The 23,562-nt window shown below is 54.4% G+C and overlaps 1 protein-coding gene across 8 annotated transcripts in view, besides 6 other annotated features; it reads left to right on the top strand.

The window, feature by feature from the left end:
- DLG4 (discs large MAGUK scaffold protein 4) overlaps window positions 1–23,562 on the top strand; it is a 32,864-nt gene that overhangs the window by 5,307 nt on the left and 3,995 nt on the right. For 2 of the 8 annotated variants that reach the window (NM_001365.5, NM_001321075.3), the window contains 18 exons: window positions 6,505–6,570; window positions 10,492–10,545; window positions 10,677–10,736; window positions 10,928–11,052; window positions 11,151–11,320; window positions 11,415–11,551; window positions 11,697–11,841; window positions 17,692–17,987; window positions 18,169–18,271; window positions 18,410–18,524; window positions 20,249–20,425; window positions 20,744–20,780; window positions 20,873–20,900; window positions 21,030–21,077; window positions 21,160–21,261; window positions 21,627–21,799; window positions 22,742–22,851; window positions 23,386–23,477. In NM_001365.5, coding sequence (NP_001356.1) covers window positions 6,505–6,570; window positions 10,492–10,545; window positions 10,677–10,736; window positions 10,928–11,052; window positions 11,151–11,320; window positions 11,415–11,551; window positions 11,697–11,841; window positions 17,692–17,987; window positions 18,169–18,271; window positions 18,410–18,524; window positions 20,249–20,425; window positions 20,744–20,780; window positions 20,873–20,900; window positions 21,030–21,077; window positions 21,160–21,261; window positions 21,627–21,799; window positions 22,742–22,851; window positions 23,386–23,477 — 2,038 coding nt within the window. Of the gene's footprint in view, window positions 1–6,504; window positions 6,571–7,472; window positions 7,814–9,556; window positions 9,799–10,491; window positions 10,546–10,676; window positions 10,737–10,927; window positions 11,053–11,150; window positions 11,321–11,414; window positions 11,552–11,696; window positions 11,842–17,691; window positions 17,988–18,168; window positions 18,272–18,409; window positions 18,525–20,248; window positions 20,426–20,743; window positions 20,781–20,872; window positions 20,901–21,029; window positions 21,078–21,159; window positions 21,262–21,626; window positions 21,800–22,741; window positions 22,852–23,385; window positions 23,478–23,562 lie in introns of those variants that run through there. The other 6 variants (NM_001128827.4, NM_001321074.1, NM_001369566.3 and 3 more) reach the window with 5 other exon arrangements.
- Window positions 140–434: an enhancer, noted in NCBI's record as "tiled region #12633; K562 Activating DNase matched - State 5:Enh". NCBI's record gives its function as "activates a minimal TATA promoter and a strong SV40 promoter by Sharpr-MPRA in K562 cells {active_cell/tissue: K562}" and the evidence as "EXISTENCE:reporter gene assay evidence [ECO:0000049][PMID:27701403]".
- Window positions 153–392: a silencer, noted in NCBI's record as "silent region_8087". NCBI's record gives its function as "represses an Ori minimal core promoter by ATAC-STARR-seq in GM12878 lymphoblastoid cells {active_cell/tissue: GM12878}" and the evidence as "EXISTENCE:reporter gene assay evidence [ECO:0000049][PMID:35858748]".
- Window positions 2,686–3,200: an enhancer, noted in NCBI's record as "H3K4me1 hESC enhancer chr17:7114863-7115377 (GRCh37/hg19 assembly coordinates)". NCBI's record gives its function as "activates a minimal SCP1, AML or CMV promoter by ChIP-STARR-seq in primed H9 embryonic stem cells {active_cell/tissue: H9 hESC(primed)}" and the evidence as "EXISTENCE:reporter gene assay evidence [ECO:0000049][PMID:30033119]".
- Window positions 3,201–3,715: an enhancer, noted in NCBI's record as "H3K4me1 hESC enhancer chr17:7114348-7114862 (GRCh37/hg19 assembly coordinates)". NCBI's record gives its function as "activates a minimal SCP1, AML or CMV promoter by ChIP-STARR-seq in primed H9 embryonic stem cells {active_cell/tissue: H9 hESC(primed)}" and the evidence as "EXISTENCE:reporter gene assay evidence [ECO:0000049][PMID:30033119]".
- Window positions 9,525–9,574: an enhancer, noted in NCBI's record as "active region_11603". NCBI's record gives its function as "activates an Ori minimal core promoter by ATAC-STARR-seq in GM12878 lymphoblastoid cells {active_cell/tissue: GM12878}" and the evidence as "EXISTENCE:reporter gene assay evidence [ECO:0000049][PMID:35858748]".
- Window positions 17,452–18,651: an enhancer, noted in NCBI's record as "MED14-independent group 3 enhancer chr17:7099412-7100611 (GRCh37/hg19 assembly coordinates)". NCBI's record gives its function as "activates an origin of replication core promoter dependent on BRD2, BRD4, P300/CBP and CDK7 cofactors, and independent of MED14, by STARR-seq in HCT116 cells {active_cell/tissue: HCT116}" and the evidence as "EXISTENCE:reporter gene assay evidence [ECO:0000049][PMID:35650434]".

The raw sequence follows: 23,562 nt of genomic DNA, 5'->3' as shown, positions 1-23,562 counted from the left end.
CCGCGCTGCTGCCGCCGTTGCCATGGTAACCGGCGACGACTGAAGCTGCGTGGCGGACTGGAGGGCCGGGCGAGGGTGGCGGAAGGCGGAGCAGAACAAGTGGGGGTGGGGATACAGTGGGGGAAAGACTGAGGCTATTTGCCAGAGCCCCAGGAGCGAAGCGGTTAAACCCTCCGGGTGGTCCTTATTGGGCAAAGCCGAGATGCCGGGGGCGGGGCAGTGTGGCCGACGGCCTCATTCATTGGCCGTCAGGGGCGTGGCGGAGGGACAGTGTGGGCGAGGCAGGGGGAGCGAACGGGCGGGAAGTGGACGGAGGCGTGGCCTCCCGGGCAGGTGGGTGGGGTCTGGCTTACTCTATCGAGGGAGGCAGCAACCTTCGGAAAGGGGAGGAACCTTGGGGCTGGGTTACCTGACCGAAATGAGGGCGGGGCTGACCTGGGATGGGCGTGGCGTGGCCCCCCGTGCGTAAAGGAGACAGGGTTTGAGGAGCTATTGTCCAAGTAACTTCAGGGCGCGGGGGTCTTTGGAAAGGAGAATCCGGGGGTTGGGAAGTCTGACGTCTCAATTTTCCTAAGATGGAGGTCTGTTCAGATTTCATCAGAGCACCCCTCCTACCTCAGCTCTGTGTTCCCAGGAGACGGTTGCTAGGCGACGGCAAAGTCCTTGATTGCTGCGTTGCCAGGCAACAGAGAAACGGAAAATGGAGGGAAAAGGGAAATGGGGGATGGGGAAGGGTCTTTATGGGCCATGGCGCCCACTGGTGGATAAGCAGGGCCTGCAGGTTTTCTATTCTAGAAGGAAATTTGAGTCCAGCCCCTTCCGCACTGACTCCTTGGATCCTCTGGTGATCCAAGCCTTCCTACCAGATATGAAACTAGGACATTGGGGGTCATCTTGGGGGCGCATGTAACAGATGCCGATCAACGGGGTCAATCTCGCTTGGGTGAGATTCTAGGGAAGTCGTCATTTCTACCATGTATGGGCATTTTATAGAAGTCAGCCGATTTGAGGAGACCCCTCACTGGGTTTTAAGAGCTGGAAGGGTGGGCGTTCAATGGGAGAATATTTGGAAGAGAGGCTTTCAGGTTAAGTTGTTTGGGAGAAAATGGAAATCTCTGAAGAGACCTGAAGGAGGCGGTTGGGAGTGTTCTGGACGATTTGTGGGTCATTGCAGATTGCCGGCCGTATCTTTGGTGTGTATTTTTTGAGGCCTGAGTGTGGAGAAGATATATTTGGGAGCAATCTTCCGACAAAGTTGGAATTCAGAATCGTGGAGGGGATGTTCTGGGCAGACAGAAAAGGGTGTAATCTATGAACCTCAGGGGTAAAGAAAAGGAGAGGAGGTGCCGGGTGCGGTGGCTCACACCTGTAATCCCAGCACTTTGGGAGCCCGAGGCGCGCGGATCATGTGAGGTCACGAGTTCGAGACCAGCCTGGCCAACATGGCGATACCCCGTCTCTACTAAAAATACAAAAAAATTAGCCGGGCGTAGTGGCGGGCGCCTGTAATGCCAGATATCCGGGAGGTTGAGGTAGGAGAATCACTCGAACCCGGGAGCCGGATGTTGCAGTAAGCCGAGATCGCGCCATTGCACTCCAGCATGAGCAACAGAGCGAGAATCTGTCTCAAAAAAAAAAAAAAAAAAAAGAAAGAAAGAAAGAAAAGAAAAGGAAAAGGAAAATACTTTTAATTAATTAATTATTAATTTTTGAGACCGAGTCTCACTCTGTCGCCTAGGCTAGAGTGCAGTGGCACGATCTCGGCTCACTGCAATCTCTGCTGCCCAGATTCAAGCCATCCTCCTGCCTCAGCCTCCCTAGTAGCTAGGATTACAGGCGCCTGCCACCGCGCCCGGCTAATTTTTGTAGTTTTAGTAGAGATGGGGTTTCACCATCTTGGCCAGGCTGGTCTGGAACGCCTGACCTCATGATCCAACCGCCTCGGCCTCCCAAAGTGCTGGGATTACAGGTGTGAGCCACCGTGCCAGGCCAAAATTTTTTTTTTTAGAGATGGGATCTCACTATGTTGCCCAAGCTGGTGTTGGGCACCTGGCCTCCAGCGATCTTCCCGTCTACATTTCTTTTTATAAGAGTTTTGGAAAAAATTGACGAGATTGCTATTTAATTTGGAGGGTCTGCTTTAAAGTAGATTAAATATTTCCTGAAATTGGGTTCTGGTGTGGATTTGGAGACTGGCATATTAGGAAGTCATGAGTATCTTATTAGATTCGGGGGTTTGGACAGGGGATCCCCAACAAATTAGAGGACTTGTTATTTGGATGTTTATATTAGAGCAAGAGTAATATTTGCACTAATTGCAACATCCCTGTTAGTGGATTGGGAGATAGATGTGATATAGAAAGGGATGATTTAGCATATATTAATTTGGGGGGCCAACAAGGCTCTGTGGTTCCTTAAACTCTTGAAGAAACATGGGCTGCCTATCAGGTGGGGCTGGACTGCAGGGGAGAACTATGCTGGTTAGAGTAGGAGATGCCTTGGAATCTGAGGAGATGCTATCCACAGCACCAATCTTGCGGGGGTTTGGTGGGAGAGGCAGTGTAGATCCCTTGGGGGTTCTTGTGAGAGAAGTGCTGTTTGTTTCCCTGGACTCTGGGAGGCCAGTAGTGACGAGATGTCCAGTGAGGTTTTGGAATGGTTTGGGGTCTCGCGATGTTGGGGTTGGGGGATTAGATGGGATGGAATAAGGGGTCCCTGAGAACTAGAGAGATAAACTGGTAAATTTAAGTCTGTCTTTAATTGTAGAGGGGTCGGAATAGAAGTATACTGTGGAAAGTGAAGTTCACAGAGAAACAGCGTGAACCAGGGAAGTTGGTGGCTAAGAGGGTCTCCCCTCACCCCTCTCTCCCAACGTGACGCTCTTCCTTACTGCGCAGGCGCCGTCACCCCCCCCCCCCCCCCGCCGCAGCCTCCAGTTGCCGCGGCCGCCGCAGCCCCCGCCCCTCTGCCCCTCCCCCTCCCCCAACCCCCGGGACCCTTGATATCCCACCTACCCCCTTCCCTCAGTCCCCCTCCCCTTCTCCATGTCGGCTCGGAACAGATTCGCCTCCATGTGTCTCTGCGTGGTACGTGCCGCGGTATGGGCTCCGGCCCGCTCCCCCTTCCCGGACCCCCGCAAATATCAGGGTGCAAGCTTCAAGCGCTGTCGCTCTTCCTTCTGCTTGGTGCGGGGTCTCTGGGTTGCAACTTCTCGTGGACAGGCGCCGTGGGTCGCCCCTCTTATCATTCACTTTGACTCACACCCCTATGTTTTGGGGGTGCAAGCCTCAGTTCCAGGTCATTCTGTGCAACTGGGGCTCTGGTGAGGAGGGGGCCAAAGGGGAAGGAACAACAGCGACTCCGTCCGTGTCCCCCATTCCCCAGGCCTTTTACTTGTTTTAAGCCCTAATATATTGGGGGTGCAGATATGTCCCAGTAGCATCTGAGTTGTCTGGGTTAGGGCCCTGAGTCCCAGTAGGATAAAGGATGGGGGGGGTCCTCCTTTCCCGTCCTGCTTTAGTTGCCCTGTAATCCAAGACTGAGAGGTGCTGATCCCCCACCGCCCCAGCCCCCCAGTCTGCAGTTTCAGAATTACTCTCCCCCGCCCCCACCCCCACCCCTCCCGACGTTTCTCCCCGCCCCCCTACATGTACGTCGAAAATTTCCAGAGACTGAACCTAGTCCCTAACCTCTTCCAGCCACATTCTGGAAACCCTGGCACCCATTTCTTGTTCCCCATTTTCTCCATGTTGCCTCCCAATCCTGAGGAGCCTTTTCTTCAGTGCCAGACACCACCCTCCCTCCATGGGGGTGGGGCAGGGAGAGGTATTGGGGGCTCGCTGAGATAAAAGTTTACCTTCATTTCCTCCCTAGAATAAATGATGAAATGGCCCTCCTCATGTTTCCATTTTCTTTGGGTGCACGCTGACATTTCCTCCTCAGATTCAGGAATTTTCTCTCTGAGGTGGAGTGAAGATGGAGAGGCACTGGACTCAAACCCTCCCCCAGACTCCAAAACTTGGAGCTTTGGTCCTAATTTACCTTGCAGGGAATTGGAGGCCTTGTGAAGGAAGAGTGGATAGCGGAGAGCGGCTTCCACCCCTTCCCCCAGGTCTCAATTCTGGGGCTTGCCCCTCAGCTTGTGCACTGCCCAGGTAGAAGACCACCTTCTCAGGATGTGGAATGAACAGTCTCTGTTGGTTCATAGAACTCCTTTATTCAAGACAGCTCAGCCTTGGAGGAGGGCTATTTTGTGTGTTCTCCTATTTTCCTTCTCTACTTTTTGTGCCCATCGGATTGAAATCTGGAGTTCAGGATTCTCTCCAAGTCTGTGGCCCAGAGAATAGACTCAATCTTGCTGAGCCCGTTTTCCTTCTTTAAGACTCTTTAAATGTATCAGGGTGCTTCTTGATTTGAGTTGTCTCTGTGTTCTGGGTTTGAGAGTTTTCGTGCTGACAGGACCACTTCCCTTCTCCCATTCTCTTACTGTACCCTTACTCTACAGCCAAAGTTGTGTTATATTCTCAGCCTTGATTCATCATCTTTAACATTTTCAGAATCCTACTCAAGGATTGGCCATTGACCTTGATAAGCTTCCTCCCATTTGATCTCGCAGCTGCTGCCCTCTAAGTATTAGGGCACTCTCAGCCTCTCAGAAACTTTTGGGAGGGAAATTCTGCTCGCCCTCTCTCTTTTTTGTTTTGGAGATGGAGTCTCACTCTGTCGCCAGGCTAGAGTGCAGTGGCATGATCTCGGCTCACTGCAACCTCCGCTTCCCAGGTTCAAGCAATTCTCCTGCCTCAGCCTCCCATGTAGCTAGGATTACAGCCATGTGCCACCACGCCCAGCTAATTTTTGTATTTTTAGTAGAGATGGGATTTCACCATGTTGGCCAGGCTGGTCTCTGACCTCAGGTGATGTACCCACCTCGGCATTATAAGCATCAGCCACTGCTCCTGGCCTCTCTCTCTTTTTGAGACAGGGTCTTACTCTGTTGCCCAGGCTGGAGTGCGGTGGCGTGATCATGGCTCACTGCAGCCTCCACCTCTTGGGCTCAAGCAATCCTCCCACCTCAGCCTCCTTAGCAGTTGGGACTACAGGTGTGCACCACCATGCCTGGCTAATTTTTGTATTTTTTGTAGACAGGGTTTCACTGTGTTGCCCAGGCTGGTCTCCAACTCCAGCTCCTGGGCTCAAGCTGTCTGCCTGCCTCAGCCTCCCAAAGTGCTGGGATTGCCGTGCCTTCTCTTTTTACCCATGTGTACTGGGCGGTGCATTCTGTCTTCTTCAGTTCCTGAGGGATCCCTGCGTATGATACCTTCCCCTTCCTGAACCTGGAGCTTGGAGGGTCAGTCTCTGTGGAGGCCCGTTCCAGAGGAGAGGAGCAGGCGAGGGCAGAGGCGGACACGGAAGGACCCAGGCAGAAACGCTGTCTTCTTCTGCTGTCTCCATCTGCCCTTTTCCTCCTTCTCTGGCCCCCAGTTAATCTCATTTTACTGTTGTCCCTATTAAGCTAGCACAGGAGGCCCTTGGGATGGCAGCTGATTAACTGGGCAGGGAGTCAGGGGTCATGTTGGGCCTTTCACCCCAAAAGAGCAGAGGGAGACCAGAAATTCACTCTGAGGCTCAGCATGCTACCCTCCTCCCCAACCAGGGAGGCTGGCACCCATTCTTGCCCCTGTCCTGAGCCCTGCTGTCTCTGTTCTTCCCCTTCCTCCCCCAGCCCATGCCCTTATAGCATAACCGGATTAGCTGGCTGGGCTGTGGGCTGTTGCAGGGGTAGGGCCAGACTCCCGGGGCCCCTCTGTTGACTGCTTGGAAACCAGCAAGGGCAGTGAACTGGACAGGCTTAGCCTTGTCCTGTCTCGGGGGCTGATACCAAGTACCTTCTGGTGGAAGGGGTGACTTCAGTCCTTGCCTAAGGAGTGCAAGGTAAAGGAGAGCCAATCACCTGTGGGGTAGAGGCTGCAATGGGGAGACTGAGGCCATGGAGGTGGGGCGCGGGGAGGATGCCATGCAGAGTAGGAGCAGCCAGAGGGGTAGGGGAGGGGAGGCTAGAACAAGAGTGAGTCTGAGATGGTGAGAGAAGCAAGGAAGTTGGGGACTGGAGGCAGAGAATGGAGATGTGAGTGTCGGGGCTAGAGCTCTGAGAAGCTGGAGGGACTCGAAGATGAAGGTGGTGGGGAAAGGGGTGAAGACACAGATGCCAGAGGGGCTATGCCCACCAGAAGGCCAGTGTCCCAGGATGTGAGGAGTAGGAGTTGGGGGATGGGATTGGGACCTGGGGATTGATGAGAGGTGCTGAGGCCCTGGCGGGAGAGGGGGCTGTTGGGAGAGTGGAGAGAGGGGAGCCAATGGGCTAGAGGAGAGGGAGGGGGAGGAGCTGGTCAGGCCCCAGGGCCTTCCGCACTGCACTGGCTGGGGGAAGAGGCGGCGGCCAGGGCGGCCAGCCTGGAGCCTGAGGCACCGGGCTGGCCCCAGTGACACCTCCGTCCCCATCCCCAGAAATACCGCTACCAAGATGAAGACACGCCCCCTCTGGAGCACAGCCCGGCCCACCTCCCCAACCAGGTAAACGCCCCCGAGCTGGTGCACGTGGCGGAGAGGAACTTGTCCCACCTCGAGGCTGGCCACGGGGTCGTGGGCCACGCCCACCTCTCCCCCTTCAAGGTAGGAGACCCTGGTGGCCCCCTCCCCAGTGCGGCCCTCGGAGCCTCGGAGCTGCAGCAATCCCTAAGGGCCGGTAGGGTGAGAGAGAGCCGTGGGGAGGGGGATGCTGGGACTGGGGGCGGGGGTTTGGGGCTTGGGCTCCTGGGGTCTGGGGGAGGGGGCGTTTGTGGGGCTGGAAACACCTTGGTCCCACAGAGGAGAAACAGGCCAGGCCAATGGGAGTGGATGTAAAGCCTAAAGCAAGAATGTGTGTGTGCGCGCGTGCCTGTGCGCGTGTGCTGTGTGTGTGCCTGTGCGTGTGTGCATGCATGCGTGCCTGTGTGTGTGCTGTGTGTGTGTGTGCGTGCGTGCGCCGTTTGTGTGCCTGTGCGTGTGCTGTATGCGTGTGTGTTGAGGTGTGTGCATCCCCCAAGAGGCCCCCACGCCTGGGACCTCTTCATTCCTTCACACCCCCAACCTCCATTTCCATTTTCTGTGTCCAGAGCTCTGTTCCAAGCGCCTGCTGCCCTCATTTGCTCTTGTCCCTTCCCCGCCTCCTCCCCCTACCTCCGCCTCTGGGCCTGGCTCGCCCTGTCCCCAAGTCTCCAGCTCTTTCCATCTGTCTGGCCTGAGACTTCACATGGTGGGGCCTTGCTGCCTCGTCCCCTGCCCCAGCTTTGCTCCACTCCTGAGTTCTCTTCCCCCTCTGCAGCCTTTCCTCCCTGCTGGCTGGCTGGCTGGCTGGCTCTTGATGCTGTCTCTCTCTTCCTCCCACGCATTCTCCTCTCCCTCTCCCTGATCCCCAGCCCAGGCCGCTGGGGCCTGATCAGTCCTTTCCCTCATCAGTCCTCTCCCTCCATCAGCCAGCTCCCCTTTCCCATGTTCCCTCTTGCCTATTCATCTTCACCTTCCCTCTTTTCCTCCTCCCCTCTCTCATCCTCTTGGGTTCTCACCTCTGCCATATCTTCTTTCTATCCCCCTCTGCCCCCTCCATCATCCCCCACCACCTGTTTCCCTTTCTCCTCTCTGCTCACAGCGTCCTCCTCTCTCCAGTCCCGGGAGGCCTGGTTTCTGGGACCTTCCATTCTCCAGTCCACTTTCCATCTTCCCCTTCCTCCATCTCCTCTTCTGGGGACACAGGATGGGGAGGACTGGAGAGCACCAGGCAAGCTGTGAGATTGAGGGGACACTGTGGGGTCAGGGTGGGGATTCTAGGATGTTGTGGGATGCTCTGGGAAGGGGGAGGTTGCTGACATTTCACCAAGAAGATGGGGAGGAGGTCTCTGAGCCTAGGGAGCGGGCAAGCAGGTTCTGGAGTTAGAACTGGCAAGAGAGGAGTTGGGGGATAGGAAGGGTAAGAGGTCCTGGGTCAGGGGCCAGATAGGGATAAGACTGTGAGATCAGGGCAGTGAATGAGGCTGACAGAGCAAGGAAAGGAAGGCCCTGGAGACAGGGATGGTACAGAGTGTTTGTGCGAATTCTGTGGATGCTAGGAGTGAGGGAAAGAAGACTAGAGATGCTTTGTGCAAGGCAGGGCCATTAAATCCCTGAGCAGGGGGAAGAGGAGGTAGGGAGCCTGAGGGGTGGTAGTTAGTACAGAGCTGCTGCTGATCAGAGCTCAGGAGCAGAAGGGGGTGGAGGGAGAGAGTGTTGGAGGCCATAAGCATGGGGTGGAGGTCTCAGGACAAGGCCTCACCTGGGGAACAGGAGAAGCCCCAATTTTCAGAAGAGAGGGGAGTTGATTGAGAAGTGTAAGATTGTTACTTGAGAATAATCTTGAGGGTATGAAGGTAGGGTAAGGGAGAATGGTGATAAACTCTCTGGGGAATCAGAAATTGAGATGGAGTAGCTGGGTGGGGTGGCATGTGCCTGTAGCTACTCAGGAGGCTGAGGTGGGAGGACTGCTTGAGCCCAGGAGTTCAAGGCCGCAGTGAGCTATGATCACACCACTGCACTCCAGCCTGGGTGACACAGCGAGACCTTGTCTCTGGAAAAAAAGAAATTGGGATGGAGGATGAGGCCACATTGGTAAGGGATGGGGCTGGAGGGTGCGACAGGGCCAGGGAAGCGGATGGAGAATGGAGGCTGGGGTTGGAAGATGGATGTTGAAGGGCGAGACAGGGATGGAGATGGAGCATGTGGGATGCGGGCAGAGATAGGGATGGGAAGCAAATGAATGTCGTAGTGGATGAAGGTGGGTGTGCTGGGAAGGAGGTTCCAGGATAGGGATGGGGATGGGGATTGAGGATGGGCTATGGGATGGAGGACGGGCTATGGGATGGAGGACGGGCTGCGGGATGGGGGACGGGCTGCGGGATGGGGGACGGGCTGCGGGATGGGGGACGGGCTGCGGGATGGGGGACGGGCTGTGGGATGGGGGACGGGCTGTGGGATGGGGGATGAACACGTGGATGAGATTTTGGCAGTCAGTGACTGTTGGTTGGACAACAGCATTTGCTGATATGTGAAGGGTTGGAGGGTGGTGTTAATAGATTTATGGGTGTGAAATCTGTGATACAGCTTGAAAATGGTCGGTAGTTTGTAGGCTTGAGAAATAGCAGTAGGAGAGGGGAGGGACCCCTTTGGACGGGGAGAGCGGGAAGGAGACTGGGGAATCCTTGCGCTTGGGCGACTGCAAATACATGTTTCTTTAAGGAGGAAGTAGGTTGGGGACCCCGGAAGGAGGCTCTTGGCGGCCTCCCCCCATTGCCATAGAGACGTGGCTTCGGTTGCCCTGGCAATTGGGGAAGCCCCTAGGACCGGGCTAAAGCGGGCCCCGCCTGGGAGTCTAGAGACCAGGCGATTGACGTCAGGGACCTGGGCACGCCCCACTTTAACCCTTTCCCGAATGAAGTGGGGGGAGGGAGTAGATGAGCGGGATAGGACCCGGATGTCTTTCACCACTCCCAGTTCCTGACGTCCTTTGCACTGCGTAGGGTGAGGGGCGTAGGGGAGCGAGGAAGGCAGGTTATTCAGGATGCGCTGCGCCCACAAACCTCTTCAGCCCGGCCTCCTCTCGGCCTGGCTAACGTGGGGCGGGGCCCAGGGCAGGAGAGGCGGGGCTAGCGGATCCCTTCTGCGCTCAGGAGTTTGGTCGGCCCCAGGCCACGCCCCACCCCCCTGTTGTCCTGACGACAGGGCCTCCTGGAGGTGGGTCTCCCCGGGTCTTGACTGGTCCTAGATACCGTTGCTAGGCAACACGGTCCTTAGAGGAAGGGGTGGATTGGACGGCTGGTTGGTGAGACCGAGGGAGGGGCCTGCAGCTGGGGAACCCCGGATTCCCGGGGTGCAGGGTTTAGGGCAAATGTCTGTGAAAGTGAGGGGCAAGTCTAGGGGAGGGTTATGAAAATATCTGGGTAGATATGGGGGGTTGGGGGGATGGGGCAGGAAATGGGGACCAGGACCCGGTGGACATGATCCCTGGGGTGTCCATGTGTAGCACATAAGGCATGTAACACCCTGTGGTGTTACATCCGGTGAGAAGCTCCCTTCCCCCAAGCCTACCCCCCTCTCCCCACTCTTTGCCATCTGCTGCTCCCCTCTCCGTCTGGCTGTCTCCCTTCCCGCTTCTCCTACACCTCCTTCCACATGCAGGGGGCCCCGGGCTGGGCAGAGTTAGATCCTTGCGCGTGTGCATCTGTGCGTGTGTGTGCGCGTGCGCATGTGCACGCGTGTGCGTGTGTGTGATGTGGATTGAGGCTGGGCCCTTGAGCAGCTCTCAGGGTGGCGGAGTGGGCTTGGCTAAGAGGCTGAAAGGGTAGCCACGCTGATGGGACCCTCCGTTATGGGCTCCCTCTCGAGTCAAGGCTCAGGCTGCTTTTTGTCTCTTGTTTTCCCAAACAGGCCAATTCTCCCCCAGTGATTGTCAACACAGATACCCTAGAAGCCCCAGGATATGTGAGTTGTTTAGATTTTGGGGCTGGGGCCATTGCAGAAGGAAGGAGGGAGTAAGGGAGGGCAGCAGATGACGGGCAGGTGGTCAGACAGGAATGTCTGTCTCACTGCTTTTGTGTTTCTGTCCCGTGCTGGAGTTGCAGGTGAACGGGACCGAGGGGGAGATGGAATACGAGGAAATCACATTGGAAAGGGTGAGCAGGCTCCTCCATCGGCAGTCCCCGTGGCCTCCCGTCTGTACCTTTCTTTCTGCCATGTGGTCTGGGTGGCTAGCCCCTCACCCTGTGCCTTCCTCCTCTGGCTGCTCCAAGCCATTTCCCACCCCACTTGCCTTGCCAGACTTGGGCAGTGAGGGGAGCTGACCCTCTTCCCCTCCTTCACCCAGGGTAACTCAGGTCTGGGCTTCAGCATCGCAGGTGGCACTGACAACCCACACATCGGTGACGACCCATCCATTTTCATCACCAAGATCATTCCTGGTGGGGCTGCGGCCCAGGATGGCCGCCTCAGGTGGGGAGAGGAGACAGGGGTTAGGTTGCTTGGTCCCTGGAGAGGGAGGGCCAGGGCAGCAGGAAGCTCTTGGCTCAGGCCCACCTTGCTGCTCCCAGGGTCAACGACAGCATCCTGTTTGTAAATGAAGTGGACGTGCGCGAGGTGACCCACTCAGCGGCGGTGGAAGCCCTCAAAGAGGCAGGCTCCATCGTTCGCCTCTATGTCATGCGCCGGAAGCCCCCGGCTGAGAAGGTCATGGAGATCAAGCTCATCAAGGGGCCTAAAGGTAGTAACTCATTTTGTTCCCACCCCCATCCCAACTGTCCTGTGCCCCCAAGCCTGCTTCCTGGGCACCCACCTCTGGCCTCCCCTCCATCCAGGTCTTGGCTTCAGCATCGCAGGGGGCGTAGGGAACCAGCACATCCCAGGAGATAATAGCATCTATGTAACAAAGATCATCGAAGGGGGTGCTGCCCACAAGGATGGGAGGTTGCAGATTGGAGACAAGATCCTGGCGGTGAGGACTCCATCTAGCCCATTTTCTAGCCCAGATTTGGGTCTCACCTACTAGCCCTGGCAGGCCCAAGTTCATCACTTCACCCCAGTGCTTCTGTCTTGGGCCATTTGTGGCTTTGTCTGAGCTTTGCTTTCCTTGACTCCAGGTCAACAGTGTGGGGCTAGAGGACGTCATGCATGAAGATGCTGTGGCAGCCCTGAAGAACACGTATGATGTTGTCTACCTAAAGGTGGCCAAGCCCAGCAATGCCTACCTGAGTGACAGCTATGCTCCCCCAGACATCACAACCTGTGAGAGCCCTTCAAACACCAAAGTTCCCCATGACCCATCCCGTTTAACCCATGACATGCAGTCCCACGACATCCCTGTAGCTGTCCCTCTTCAGATATTCCCTATGAAATAGCCACAACCTCTGATCCTTGCTGTTGTTGGAGAAGAGATGGAAAATCAATTACCATAAAAGAACTAGAAAAGATCGTCAACGATCTCTCTCCTGGAAGGCACAAAGCCTGGTTGGTTTTATGGCTAATTTTGTGAAATTCTCAAGGAATAGATAATTCTTCTGCTCTTCCAGAGTACAGGAAAAGATAAAAGATTTCACATTTCATTTTATAAGGCCAGTTCGAATGGTCACAAGGATAGTGTAAAATAAGGAGAGTATAGACCCGTTTTGCTTCTGAATAGAGATACAAGAGTTTACAATAATATAGTAGCAAAGCAAACATGGCAGCATGTTAAGGGAATAACATAGGGTTTGTTTCAGAAAACTAAAGATGGCTCAATATTAGGAAATCTCTTAATATGATTCATATATTAAAACGTTACGGGAGGCTAAGTGTGGTGGCTCATGCTTGTAATCCCAGCACTTGGGAGGCCAAAGTGGGAGGATTTGAGACCAGCTAGGGATTTGAGACCAGCCTAGGCAACAAAGCGAGATCCTGTCTCTAAAAAAATTAAAAAAATTAGCACGTGCCTATACTCCTTGCTACTTGGGAGGCTGAGGCTGGAGGATCGCTTGAGCCGAGGAGTTGGAAGCTGCAGTAAGCCAATGATTGCGCCACTGCCCACCAGACTGGGTGACAGAGCGAGAGGAGAAAACGATGTGATTATCTTAAATAGACGTGAAAAAGGCATTTGGTGAAATTCACCATCTCTTTTGGATGAAAGCTTTTAGTAAACTAGGAACACAGAAATTTTCCTTAAGATGGTGAAGACTAGTTATCAGGAACCAGTAACAAACATTTTATAATGATACAATTTTAGCAGTGTGTCCATTAACTTATTTTTTAATTTAATTTTAATTTTTTTCTTGAAATGGAGTTTCGCTCTTCTTGCCCAGGCTGGAGTGCAGTGGTGTGATCTCAGCTGACTGCAACCTCTGCCTCCCAGGTTCAAGTGATTCTGCTGCCCCGGCCTCCCGAGTAGCTGGGATTACAGGTGCCCACCATCACGCCTGGCTAATTTTTGTAGTTTTAGTGGAGACAGGGTTTCACCATGTTGGCCAGGCTGGTCTCGAATGCCTGACCTCAGGTGATCTGCCCTCCTCGGCCTCCCAAAGTGCTGAGATTACAGGCGTGAGCCACCGCGCCCGGCCTCCGTTAACTTACAAAGAGGGCAGGGATGCCTCTTCCCACTGCTATTATTCTTCATTGCTTTAGAGCAGGGTTTCTCAGTGTTACTCCTGACATTTTTGGACCCAATAACTCTTCATTGTGGGGGGTTGTTCTGTGCCTTGTGGGATATTAAGCAGCATCCCTGGCCTCTGTCTATCAGATGACAATGGTACTCCTCCCCCTCAGTCATAACAATTAAAAAATGTTATGACAGAATTGCCCCAGCGAAATTATGGTGGTTGAGAATCACTGCTTTAGAGATTTCAGACAGTGTAACAAGACAAGGAGAATAGTTACATTTGGAAGGGAAAAACAAAAGTTATCTCTATTTGTAAATTATACTACTGTGCATCTAGATCAAAATCTAAGTGAATTAACTGGAAAAATATGCAAAGTTAAGAATGTGGCTATTTGTTGGCTGGGCGAGGTGGCTCATGCCTGTAATCCCAACACTTTGGGAGGCCAAGGCGGGCGGATCACCTGAGGTCAGGAGTTTGAGAACAGCCTGGCCAACATGGAGAAACGCTGTCTCTACTAAAAATACAAAAAAAAATTAGCTGGGTGTGGTGGCGAGCGCCTGTAATACCAGCTAATCCTGAGGCTGAGACAGGAGAATTCCTTGACCCTGGGAGGCGGAGCTTGCAGTGAGCCAAGATCTCACCACTGCACTCCAGCCTGGGCGATAGAGCGAGACTCCATCTCAAAAAAAAAAAAAAAAAAAAACCAAAACAGGCTGGGCGCGCCGGTGGCTCATGCCTGTAATCCCAGCACTTTGGGAGGCCGAGATGGGTGAGTCACCTGAGGTTGGGAGTTCGAGACCAGCCTAACCAACATGGAGAAACCCCATCTCTACTAAAAATACAAAATTAGCCGGGCATGGTGGTGCATGCCTGCAATCCCAGCTACTCAGGAGGCTGAGGCAGGAGAATTGCTTGAACCTGGGAGGCGGAGGTTGCGGCGAGCTGAGATCGCGCCATTGCACTCCAGCCTGGGCAACAAGAGTGAAACTCTGTCTCAAAAAACGACAAAAAAAAAAAGGAATGTGGCTATTTGTAAGATAAATAACAGGAATTAGTAACTTCCCAGCAATAAGAAAATGTAGTGAATAAAAAGCCCCCTTTTGCCATAGAAAAAATTTCTATAAAATTATTAGAAATAGAAACTTGACAAGAAATGTAAGATTTGTATGAAGAAAATGACAAAACTTTACTGAAAGACATAAAACAAGACTGGAAGGGGTGAGGAGTCACACCGTGTCTCTGGATGGAAAAACTTAATATGCTAAAGATCTCAACCGGCTCCAAATTAATCTACATTCCATTCAATCCTAATCAGAATTTTAATGTTGTTTCCCTACTGGGAACTTGGAAGGTTGACACTAAAGTTTGACTGGAAAAATTTGTGTGGAAAAGCTAAGACATTTTGGAAACAAATAATGAGGTGTGGCAGCCCCTACAAAATATGAAATAATACTGTAAAACCATATTAAAATCATGTGGTACTATTCCTAAATACCATAACCTAACAAAAGGAACCTGGGCTCCTTGGAAGAAGGGTCAATTTAAAATCTTTTTTTTTCTTTTCTTTTTTTTTTTTTTTTGAGACGGAGTCTCGCTCTGTCGCCCAGGCTGGAGTGCAGTGGCACGATCTTGGCTCACTGCAAGCTCCGCCTCCCGGGTTCATGCCATTCTCCTGCCTCAGCCTCCCGAGTAGCTGGGACTACAGGTGCCCACCACCACGCCTGGCTAATTTTTTTGTATATTTTAGTAGAGATGGGGTTTCACCGTGATAGCCAGGATGGTCTTGATCTCCTGACCTCATGATCCCCCCACCTCGGCCTCCCAAAGTGCTGGGATTACAGGCCTGAGCCACCGTGCCCAGCCAATTTAAAATCTTTGGCAATAAATCTGTAAGATGAGCTTCTAACTTCTTTCATACTAGAGAGCAAGGAAGGTATCCAGGACTAATAGGGTCTCAGCAAAGACACAGGATCCAAACTGAAGGTGCTTCTACTGTCCAGTGAAAACTCGTTAAATATATTAAAATCTTTAAGATCATAATAATACTTAAAAATATTTTGGCTGGGCGCGGTGGCTCATGCCTGTAATCTCAGCACTTTGGGAGGTTGAGGCAGGCGGATCACCTGAGGTCAGGAGTTCGAGACCAGCCCGCCCAACATGGCGAAACCCCGTCTCTACTAAAAATACAAAAAATTAGCCAGGCGTGGTGGTGGGTGCCTGTAATCCTAGCTGCTGGAGAGGTTGAGGTGGGAGAATCCCTTGAACCTGGGAGGCAGAGGTTGCAGTGAGCCAAGATCGCACCACTGCACACCAGCCTGGGCGACAAGAGTGAAACTCCATCCCAAAAAAATAAATAATTAAAAAAAAAATTGGAGGATGCTAGGCAATCTCATTCATTCTGAAATTGGTGAATGAATGGAAAGAGGCATGCAGAGAGAGGCATGCATTTATCCTCCCTTTCATGTACCAGCTACCTCAGAGAGTAACCAACAGGTTGACATAGGGCTGTTTTTTTGTTTTTGTTTTTGCTTTTTTTTTGTTGGAGGCAGGTCTTGCTTTGTCACCCAGCAGGCTGGAGTGCAGTGGTGTGATCTTGGCTCACTGCAACTTCCGCCTCCTGGGCTCAAGCGATCCTCCCACCTCAGCCTCCCGAGTAGCTGGGATTACAGGCGAGTGCCATCATGCTCAGCTAACTTTTTTTTTTTTTTTTTTGAGATGGAGTCTCACTCTGTCACCCAGGCTGGAGTGCAGTGGCACGATCTTGGCTCACTGCAACCTCTGCCGCCCGGGTTCCAGCAATTCTCCTGCCTCAGCCTCCCGAGTAGCTGGGATTACAGGGCCCTGCCACTGCGCCCAGCTAATTTTTGTACTTTTAGTACAGATGGGATTTCACCATCTTGGCCAGGCTGGTTTTGAACTCCTGACCTTGTGATCCACCTGCCTCGGCCTCCCAAAGTGCTGGGATTACAGGCGTGAGCCACTGCGCCCAGCCTCAGCTAACTTTCAACTTTTGTCTTTTGTAGAGATAGGGTTTCACCATGTTACCCAAGCTGGAGGAATTTTTTTTTTTTTTTTTTGAGAGGGAGTCTCGCTCTGTCACCCAGGCTGGAGTGCAGTGGCACAATCTTGGCTCCTTGCAACCTCCGCCTCCTGGGTTCAAGCAATTCTCCTGCCTCAGCCTCCCGAGTACCTGAGATTATAGACGTAAGCCAGCACGCCCAGCCTATTTTTGTATTTTTAGTAGAGACGGGATTTCACCATGTTAGCCAGGCTGGTCTCAAAGTCTTAACCTCAAGTGATCTGCCTGCCTTGGCCTCCACAGTGCTGGGATTACAGGCATGAGCCATCGTGCCTGGTCGAGATTTTTCTTTTTTACAGAAGAATTCCCACTAGTAAATGACAATCACCACCATTTTGCAGTCCTTGATACTTATCAGAACCAGGCGGTGATTGTCAGTGTGGCTAAAACTTACCTGAAAGGCTGATGGGGCGCTAGATAATGGATGGACTGGGCTGATGACCCTGAACCTACCATTAATCTTACCTGACAGAAAGACAACCAGGCATTATTGCATCCTGTGGTGATGCTGTAGGAAGAACGTAGCGCTACCTATGAAGTATACAGGAGTTACTAAAAAAAACTCTGAATTGAACTTGAAACTGATCAAGCCTCCAGAATGAACTGCCAGTTTACAGGAGATACAGGGGCAGAGGCATAGGCTAAACAAACCACAGGAGGGTAAGCAGTAATTTCCCTGTTAGAATTTCCCTCATAGGCTGGTCAAGGTGGCTCATGCCTGTAATCCCAGCACTTTGGGAGGCATAAGCGGGTGGATCATTTGAGTTCAGAAGTTCCAGACCAGCCTGGACAACATGGTGAAACACTGTCTCTACTAAAAATACAAAAATTAGCTGGGCATGGTGGCGCGCGCCTGTAATCCCAGCTACTTGGGAGGCTGAGGCATGAGAATCACTTGAACCTGGGAGGCAGAGGCTGCAGTGAGCCAAGATCACGGCACTGCACTCCAGCCTGAGACTCCTTCTCAAAAAAACCCCAAAAAAACAAAAGAATTTCCCTCATAGAATGTGGGAAATTCTTTTAGACAAATGACCTAGTTTTTTCAACGAATGGATGGCAGAGAGGTGGGGGGAAAAAAGAGGGAGAAGAATTTTATGGATTAAGAGATTCGAGTGACACAGGAACCCAGAGAAAACCCCCAAAGCGTAATATTAATGCTCCCTTTGACTTCCCCATCCCTGGCATACTGAGGACATATAACGTTCAAATCCTTTATCCCCTAGGACAACCAGCCTCTGATGTCACCTATAAATTCCTGACCCCTGATGTCACTGTGATCTGATATCCCCTTACCACCCCACCCTGGCATCTCTGGCAGAATATCTTCCCTTCCACCTAACTTTGGCTCTTCTGGCACCCTGGGGAGAAGGTTGGGTGGCGGGTGCTGTTTCCCTCCAGGCACTTTCATCTCTGCCCTGTCTTCCTCAGCTTATTCCCAGCACCTGGACAATGAGATCAGTCACAGCAGCTACCTGGGCACCGACTACCCCACAGCCATGACCCCCACTTCCCCTCGGCGCTACTCTCCAGTGGCCAAGGACCTGCTCGGGGAGGAAGACATTCCCCGAGAACCGAGGCGAATTGTGATCCACCGGGGCTCCACGGGCCTGGGCTTCAACATCGTGGGTGGCGAGGACGGTGAAGGCATCTTCATCTCCTTTATCCTGGCCGGGGGCCCTGCAGACCTCAGTGGGGAGCTGCGGAAGGGGGACCAGATCCTGTCGGTGAGGGAAGGCCTGCCCCTACCTGCACCACCCCCTCCCCACAGGGCAGAGCGCAGAGCTCTTGGGGAGGGGCCTGGATGGGCTGCAGCCGAGTCCTCTTGCGGGACCACTCCCTGCTCCACCTGGACCCAGAAGTGCTGCCTCCTGTCTCTGGTGACACAGCCTGTCGTCCTCTCTCTAGGTCAACGGTGTGGACCTCCGAAATGCCAGCCATGAGCAGGCTGCCATTGCCCTGAAGAATGCGGGTCAGACGGTCACGATCATCGCTCAGTATAAACCAGAAGGTACCAGGCCGGAAGTTCCTTGTCTTGTGAGCTGAAATGGCCCTTAGAACTCTTCCTCAGCTGATGGCTTCAGTAGGGGAGGACAGGGGTGACAGTAGGATGGGGACAGAGCTCAGAAACCTCCCTGTCCTTCCTCAGAGTACAGCCGATTCGAGGCCAAGATCCACGACCTTCGGGAACAGCTCATGAACAGCAGCCTGGGCTCAGGGACTGCGTCCCTGCGGAGCAACCCCAAAAGGGGTTTCTACATCAGGTCAGAGGCTTCCCGGGCTGGACTCCTCAGCCCCTCTGCGTTCCTGGGCACTCTGTGCCTGGCCCGGGCCTCAGCCGCTCCTCTTCTCCACCCTGCCTGCTCTAGCTCCCCACCCCAGGCCTGAGGCGCAGCCAGGGTTCATGGGCTTGGCTGCACAGGTTAACATTTGAAATACTCCCTGTCGATGGGAAAATAGCCTCTGCCCCAAGTATCCCAATTGCCTTCTAGCCCCTGGTCATCCCAGCACTTCCCCGGGACTCCCAGGCCACCCCACAATTTGGCGTCTCGAAGGTTAATGCTTGGTGAAGCAGGGTCCTCTAGGGTATTTGGAGTGTTGCCCCAGCCTTCACGTCCCTGTGGGCAGTCCCGGAGACGTGGGCCGCAGCTCTGTGGTGCCTGCCCCCGTCTCTCCAGCGGCATTTTGCTCCCCTCTTAGGGCTCGTCTCCATTGACTCTTTTTGTGGCTTAGGTTTCTGCCAAAACACACCTCTCTCCCGCCCCCGGGGGTCACCCCTCCACTTCTGTCCCTGTCTGGCCCTGTGGCTTGCATGGCCTCGTCTGCCGCTGCGCTCTGCAGATGTCTCTCGGAGGTGCTGGCCCTGGCTGACCTATTTCCAGAGGTCAAGACCTGCACTTCTGGCCATTGGCTTTCTGGCCATCTCCACTGGGATGTCCCACAGGCGTCCCACACTCAACATGTCCCACGCTGAGCTCATCATCCTGCTGTGGGCCTGGGTTCCATCTTGCTGTGCCAGCAGTTTCCCTCTTGTTGGATGGCATCACCAGCCACCCAGACACTGGCTCCCACCTGAGCCCTTGCTCTGCCCTTCCTCCCTGCTCGGGTCCGGTTGGTCCCCAAGGTTGTTCTGACTCCCAGTGACCACAGAGGTTGTGTAGTGGCTCCCAGGCGGAATGTCATCTGGTTGTCACACTTCCAGGGGGCCCGGGGTCTCCTCCCTCCTCTCCAGGCCCATTGCTTTCTTCTGTGTCTTCATTACTTCCCTGGTTCTGACCCCAGGGGTTGTGACTTACTGATAGAAATTTGATACTGGTAAGGGTAACCATTATTTGGAAACACGGGACATTTTCTTTTTCTTATGAATTTGGGCAGATTCAGGGTTACCCCTGTGACTTTATGATGTGCGTGTGTACTGCACACTGCTTTCTGTTTTTCTTTTTCTTTTTCTTTTTTTTTTTTTTTGAGACGGTGTCTCGCTCCGTTGCCCAGGCTGGAGTGCAGTGGCGTGATCTCTGCTCACTGCAAGCTCCGCCTCCTGGGTTCATGCCATTTTCCTGCCTCAGCCTCCCGAGAAGCTGGGAATACAGGCACCCGCCACCGTGCCCGGCTAATATTTTGTATTTTTAGTAGAGACGGGGTTTCACCATGGTCTCAATCTCCTGACCTTGTGATCCGCCCGCCTTGGCCTCCCAAAGTCAGCTGGGATTCCAGGTGGGAGCCACCACGCCTGGCCCAAACTGCTTTCTTGAGAGGGTCAAGTTCAAGCCCTGCCTCTGGAAACTGTGCTCAGTGTGGACTGAGTGATGGCTAATAGTTGTTATGAGTTATAGTCAGCGTTTGGTCCCCACACAGTTTTGGGTTCCTCGGCATCCATAGCTCCCATGGGAGTGCCATCTGCAGACCTCTGGGCCGGGTCTTTGGGTGACTGGGGCATCCTTCCTGGAGTCCTCAGCTGGGCTCTGACCGATAGCCACTTGCCCTCCAGGGCCCTGTTTGATTACGACAAGACCAAGGACTGCGGCTTCCTGAGCCAGGCCCTGAGCTTCCGCTTTGGGGATGTGCTGCATGTCATCGATGCTAGTGATGAGGAGTGGTGGCAGGCACGGCGGGTCCACTCTGACAGTGAGACCGACGACATTGGGTTCATCCCCAGCAAACGGCGGTGAGGCTCCTGGGCTCTGTAGCCTTCCTGCCACAGGCACTGAAGTTCCCAAGGTCCCCCGGGGTGGGCAGCCAACAGGGGATGGGTTTGCCCTCTGAACTCCTAGGGGTTTGTCTGTTGGGCCCTCCTGGGGTCCGTGGCTCCCATGAGCCTTTGGGAAGGACAACTCCTTATTGAGGAGCACAGTGTCCAGGGCTGCAGGAGAAGGGGTGTCAGCTGGCCCAGAGTATGGAGAAGGGGTTGTCAGCTGGCTCAGAGCATGGGGGTGGCAGGGGGTAGGCATTCCCCTACCCGCGTATCCCTCCATGTATCCCACAGGGTTGAGCGACGAGAGTGGTCAAGGTTAAAGGCCAAGGTAGGTGGAGGAGGGTGTGAGCCTGGGTGGAAGTGTGAGGGCTCATGGAGCTGAGCTCATAACTAACCCCGTGGCCTGCTTTTTCTTCTTAGGACTGGGGCTCCAGCTCTGGATCGCAGGGTAGGTAGGGTTAGTTCGGGAAGATGTGGGTGAGAGGAGCACTGAGTTGCTTTTGATATCCTCAAGGGGGAGACAGGGCTCCAGGTCCCCTGTTTCAGAGCCCCTTGCAGATGCCCCACCTCCCACCAGGTCGAGAAGACTCGGTTCTGAGCTACGAGACAGTGACGCAGATGGAAGGTGAGCCCTGGCCCCTGCCTTGGCCCCAGCACTTGCTGCTCCCCCAACCCTGCGCTCGGCCTAAGCCAGGCTCTCTCTGCAGTGCACTATGCTCGCCCCATCATCATCCTTGGGCCCACCAAGGACCGCGCCAACGATGATCTTCTCTCCGAGTTCCCCGACAAGTTTGGATCCTGTGTTCCCCGTGAGTGCTGGGGCCTTGGATGGAGGAGAAGGTGGAAGTGGGGGTGGGGCAGGGGAGGCCCATCCCTGGGGCCATAGGCAGAGCCTCCTGGGGGATCGGTGTGTAGGGAGATACAGGGTTTCTCCGAGAAGGGGTGCTTCTCAGCCACCCTCTCATTCCATAGTACCCATGCCCAGGCCAGAGACTTGGAGGCCCTGGAGGGTGCTAGGGGAAGCGGTTCTGGCCCTCTGCAGTCTTGGTCTCCCTGGCAGCTCCCTTTCACCAAAGGACCAGCTGGGCACTATGGGGATTTGATTGAAGTAGGCAGGATTTAAGCTAGAGGGATGGTGGTTAGATCTTTGGGGGGTGGGGTGACTTCCTGGCAGATACGACACGGCCCAAGCGGGAGTATGAGATAGATGGCCGGGATTACCACTTTGTGTCGTCCCGGGAGAAAATGGAGAAGGACATTCAGGCGCACAAGTTCATTGAGGCCGGCCAGTACAACAGCCACCTCTATGGGACCAGCGTCCAGTCCGTGCGAGAGGTGGCAGAGCAGGTAGGACCTGGCGGGCACCCGGTCCTCTTCCTTCTCCCCTCTCCCCACCCCACTGCCTCCCTCCAGCTTTCTCTAACTCTCTCTCTCTCTGTCTCTTTCCCTGCTGGGTCTCCACTCCGCTCCTCCACCTCCTTCTCCTCTTGGGCAACTCTGTCTGACTGCCTGCTCTCTGCCCCTGCTCTCTCTCCCACCTCCCTCACTTCCTGACCCCAAATTCCCCACCACCATCTGGCCTCTTTCTCTCCCCACTCCCTTCTCCTTGCCCCATTTCTCCTCTCTTCCCATGGCCTTGTCTTTGGTGGCTTGGCCTTCCCCACTGGGTCCCTCCCTTTTTCCTGACTCCCCGCTGGCCCTCTCCCCTGCCTCACCCTTTTCTGGGGCCCGGCTCCCCTCTCCCACTCCTCTGCTAACTCCTTTCCTTTCCCCGCTGCTCCTCACCCTGCCCTCCCTCCCTCCCTCCACGGTTCCTTTCTCCATCTGCCTCACTCCCTCCCATCTGTCTCCTTGTTCCTTCCATCTGTCTGTCCTCTGTCCGTCCTCCCCTCCCTCCTCCCTCTATCCTACTTCCTTTCTCCTTTTTCTTGGCTTTCCTTCCCGCCTGTGTCACCTCTGCCTTGCACACCCCGCCCCACTCGCTGCTGCCCCGGCTCTGCCACCATCTCTTGGGTCCCTGCCTGCCTGGTGCTCCTCCCTTCCTCCATTCTGTCCTGTCCCTGCCCTCTCCCGTGCTCTCCATCTTCCCTTTCCTTTCCCTCTGTCTTTTACTCTGTCCATACCCGCTTCCTGCCTGACTCTCTGCCCCCGTGTTTCTTGACATCCATGTCACTCCCCTTCGGCCAACTTCCCATTCCCCACCTCTCCCCGTCCGTGTCCCTCCGGCACTGCTCTCTGTCCTTTCTCGCCACCCGCTGGCCCCCCTCCGCCCACCCTGCCTGCCCCCAGGGGAAGCACTGCATCCTCGATGTCTCGGCCAATGCCGTGCGGCGGCTGCAGGCGGCCCACCTGCACCCCATCGCCATCTTCATCCGCCCCCGCTCCCTGGAGAATGTGCTGTGAGTATGGTCCTGGGGGCCTCCCCTTTGCTCCCCCAACACCTGTGGCCCTGGGCCTCACAAGGCGTCTGCGTTCAACTCTCCCTTCAGAACCCTGGACAGCGGTTTCAGCAGCCCCTGAGGGGGATCCCTGGAACCCAGAGGATGTGGGGGAATCGGGTCTTTCCCCTCCTCTCCTGCCTTGGCTAGACAGGACTACATTTCCCAGCAGCCCCTGGGGCATACCAGCTGGGGCGAGTCAGGGCCTCTAGGGCTGTTGGGAATTGGAGTCCGAATCCCATCTCTGGGGCTGAAGGCTGGAAGGATGAAGCTCCGTAGATGTCCCTGGAGTAGCCACACCTGGCTGGGGCGGTTGCGGGTGGCAGGGGGGTGGGGGGTGGTTCTCATCTGTGGCCCCAGAGGATATTGGGAATTGTATTTTTTTTTTTGCTATGTGCTCCAAATAGAAGAATACTTAACATTCCTGGATAGAGGAGATAAAAGGCAGGGTCAGGTGGGTCCAGTCTCAGGCCTGCTCTCCCTCCCTCTTCACAGAGAGATTAACAAGCGGATCACAGAGGAGCAAGCCCGCAAAGCCTTCGACAGAGCCACCAAGCTGGAGCAGGAGTTCACAGAGTGCTTCTCAGGTGAGGCCACAGCAAGGCTGTTGCCAGCATGTAGGGTGCCCTTGCTCGGATTAGAAAGAGCTCCCCCGCCACCCCCAGTGGATGG

This window comes from Homo sapiens, chromosome 17 (genome assembly GCF_000001405.40).
Source record: "Homo sapiens chromosome 17, GRCh38.p14 Primary Assembly".
NCBI classification, from domain to species: Eukaryota; Metazoa; Chordata; class Mammalia; order Primates; family Hominidae; genus Homo; species Homo sapiens.
The sequence above is the reverse complement of the archived record's forward strand: the minus strand, read 5'-3'. Positions and strand labels throughout refer to the sequence as shown.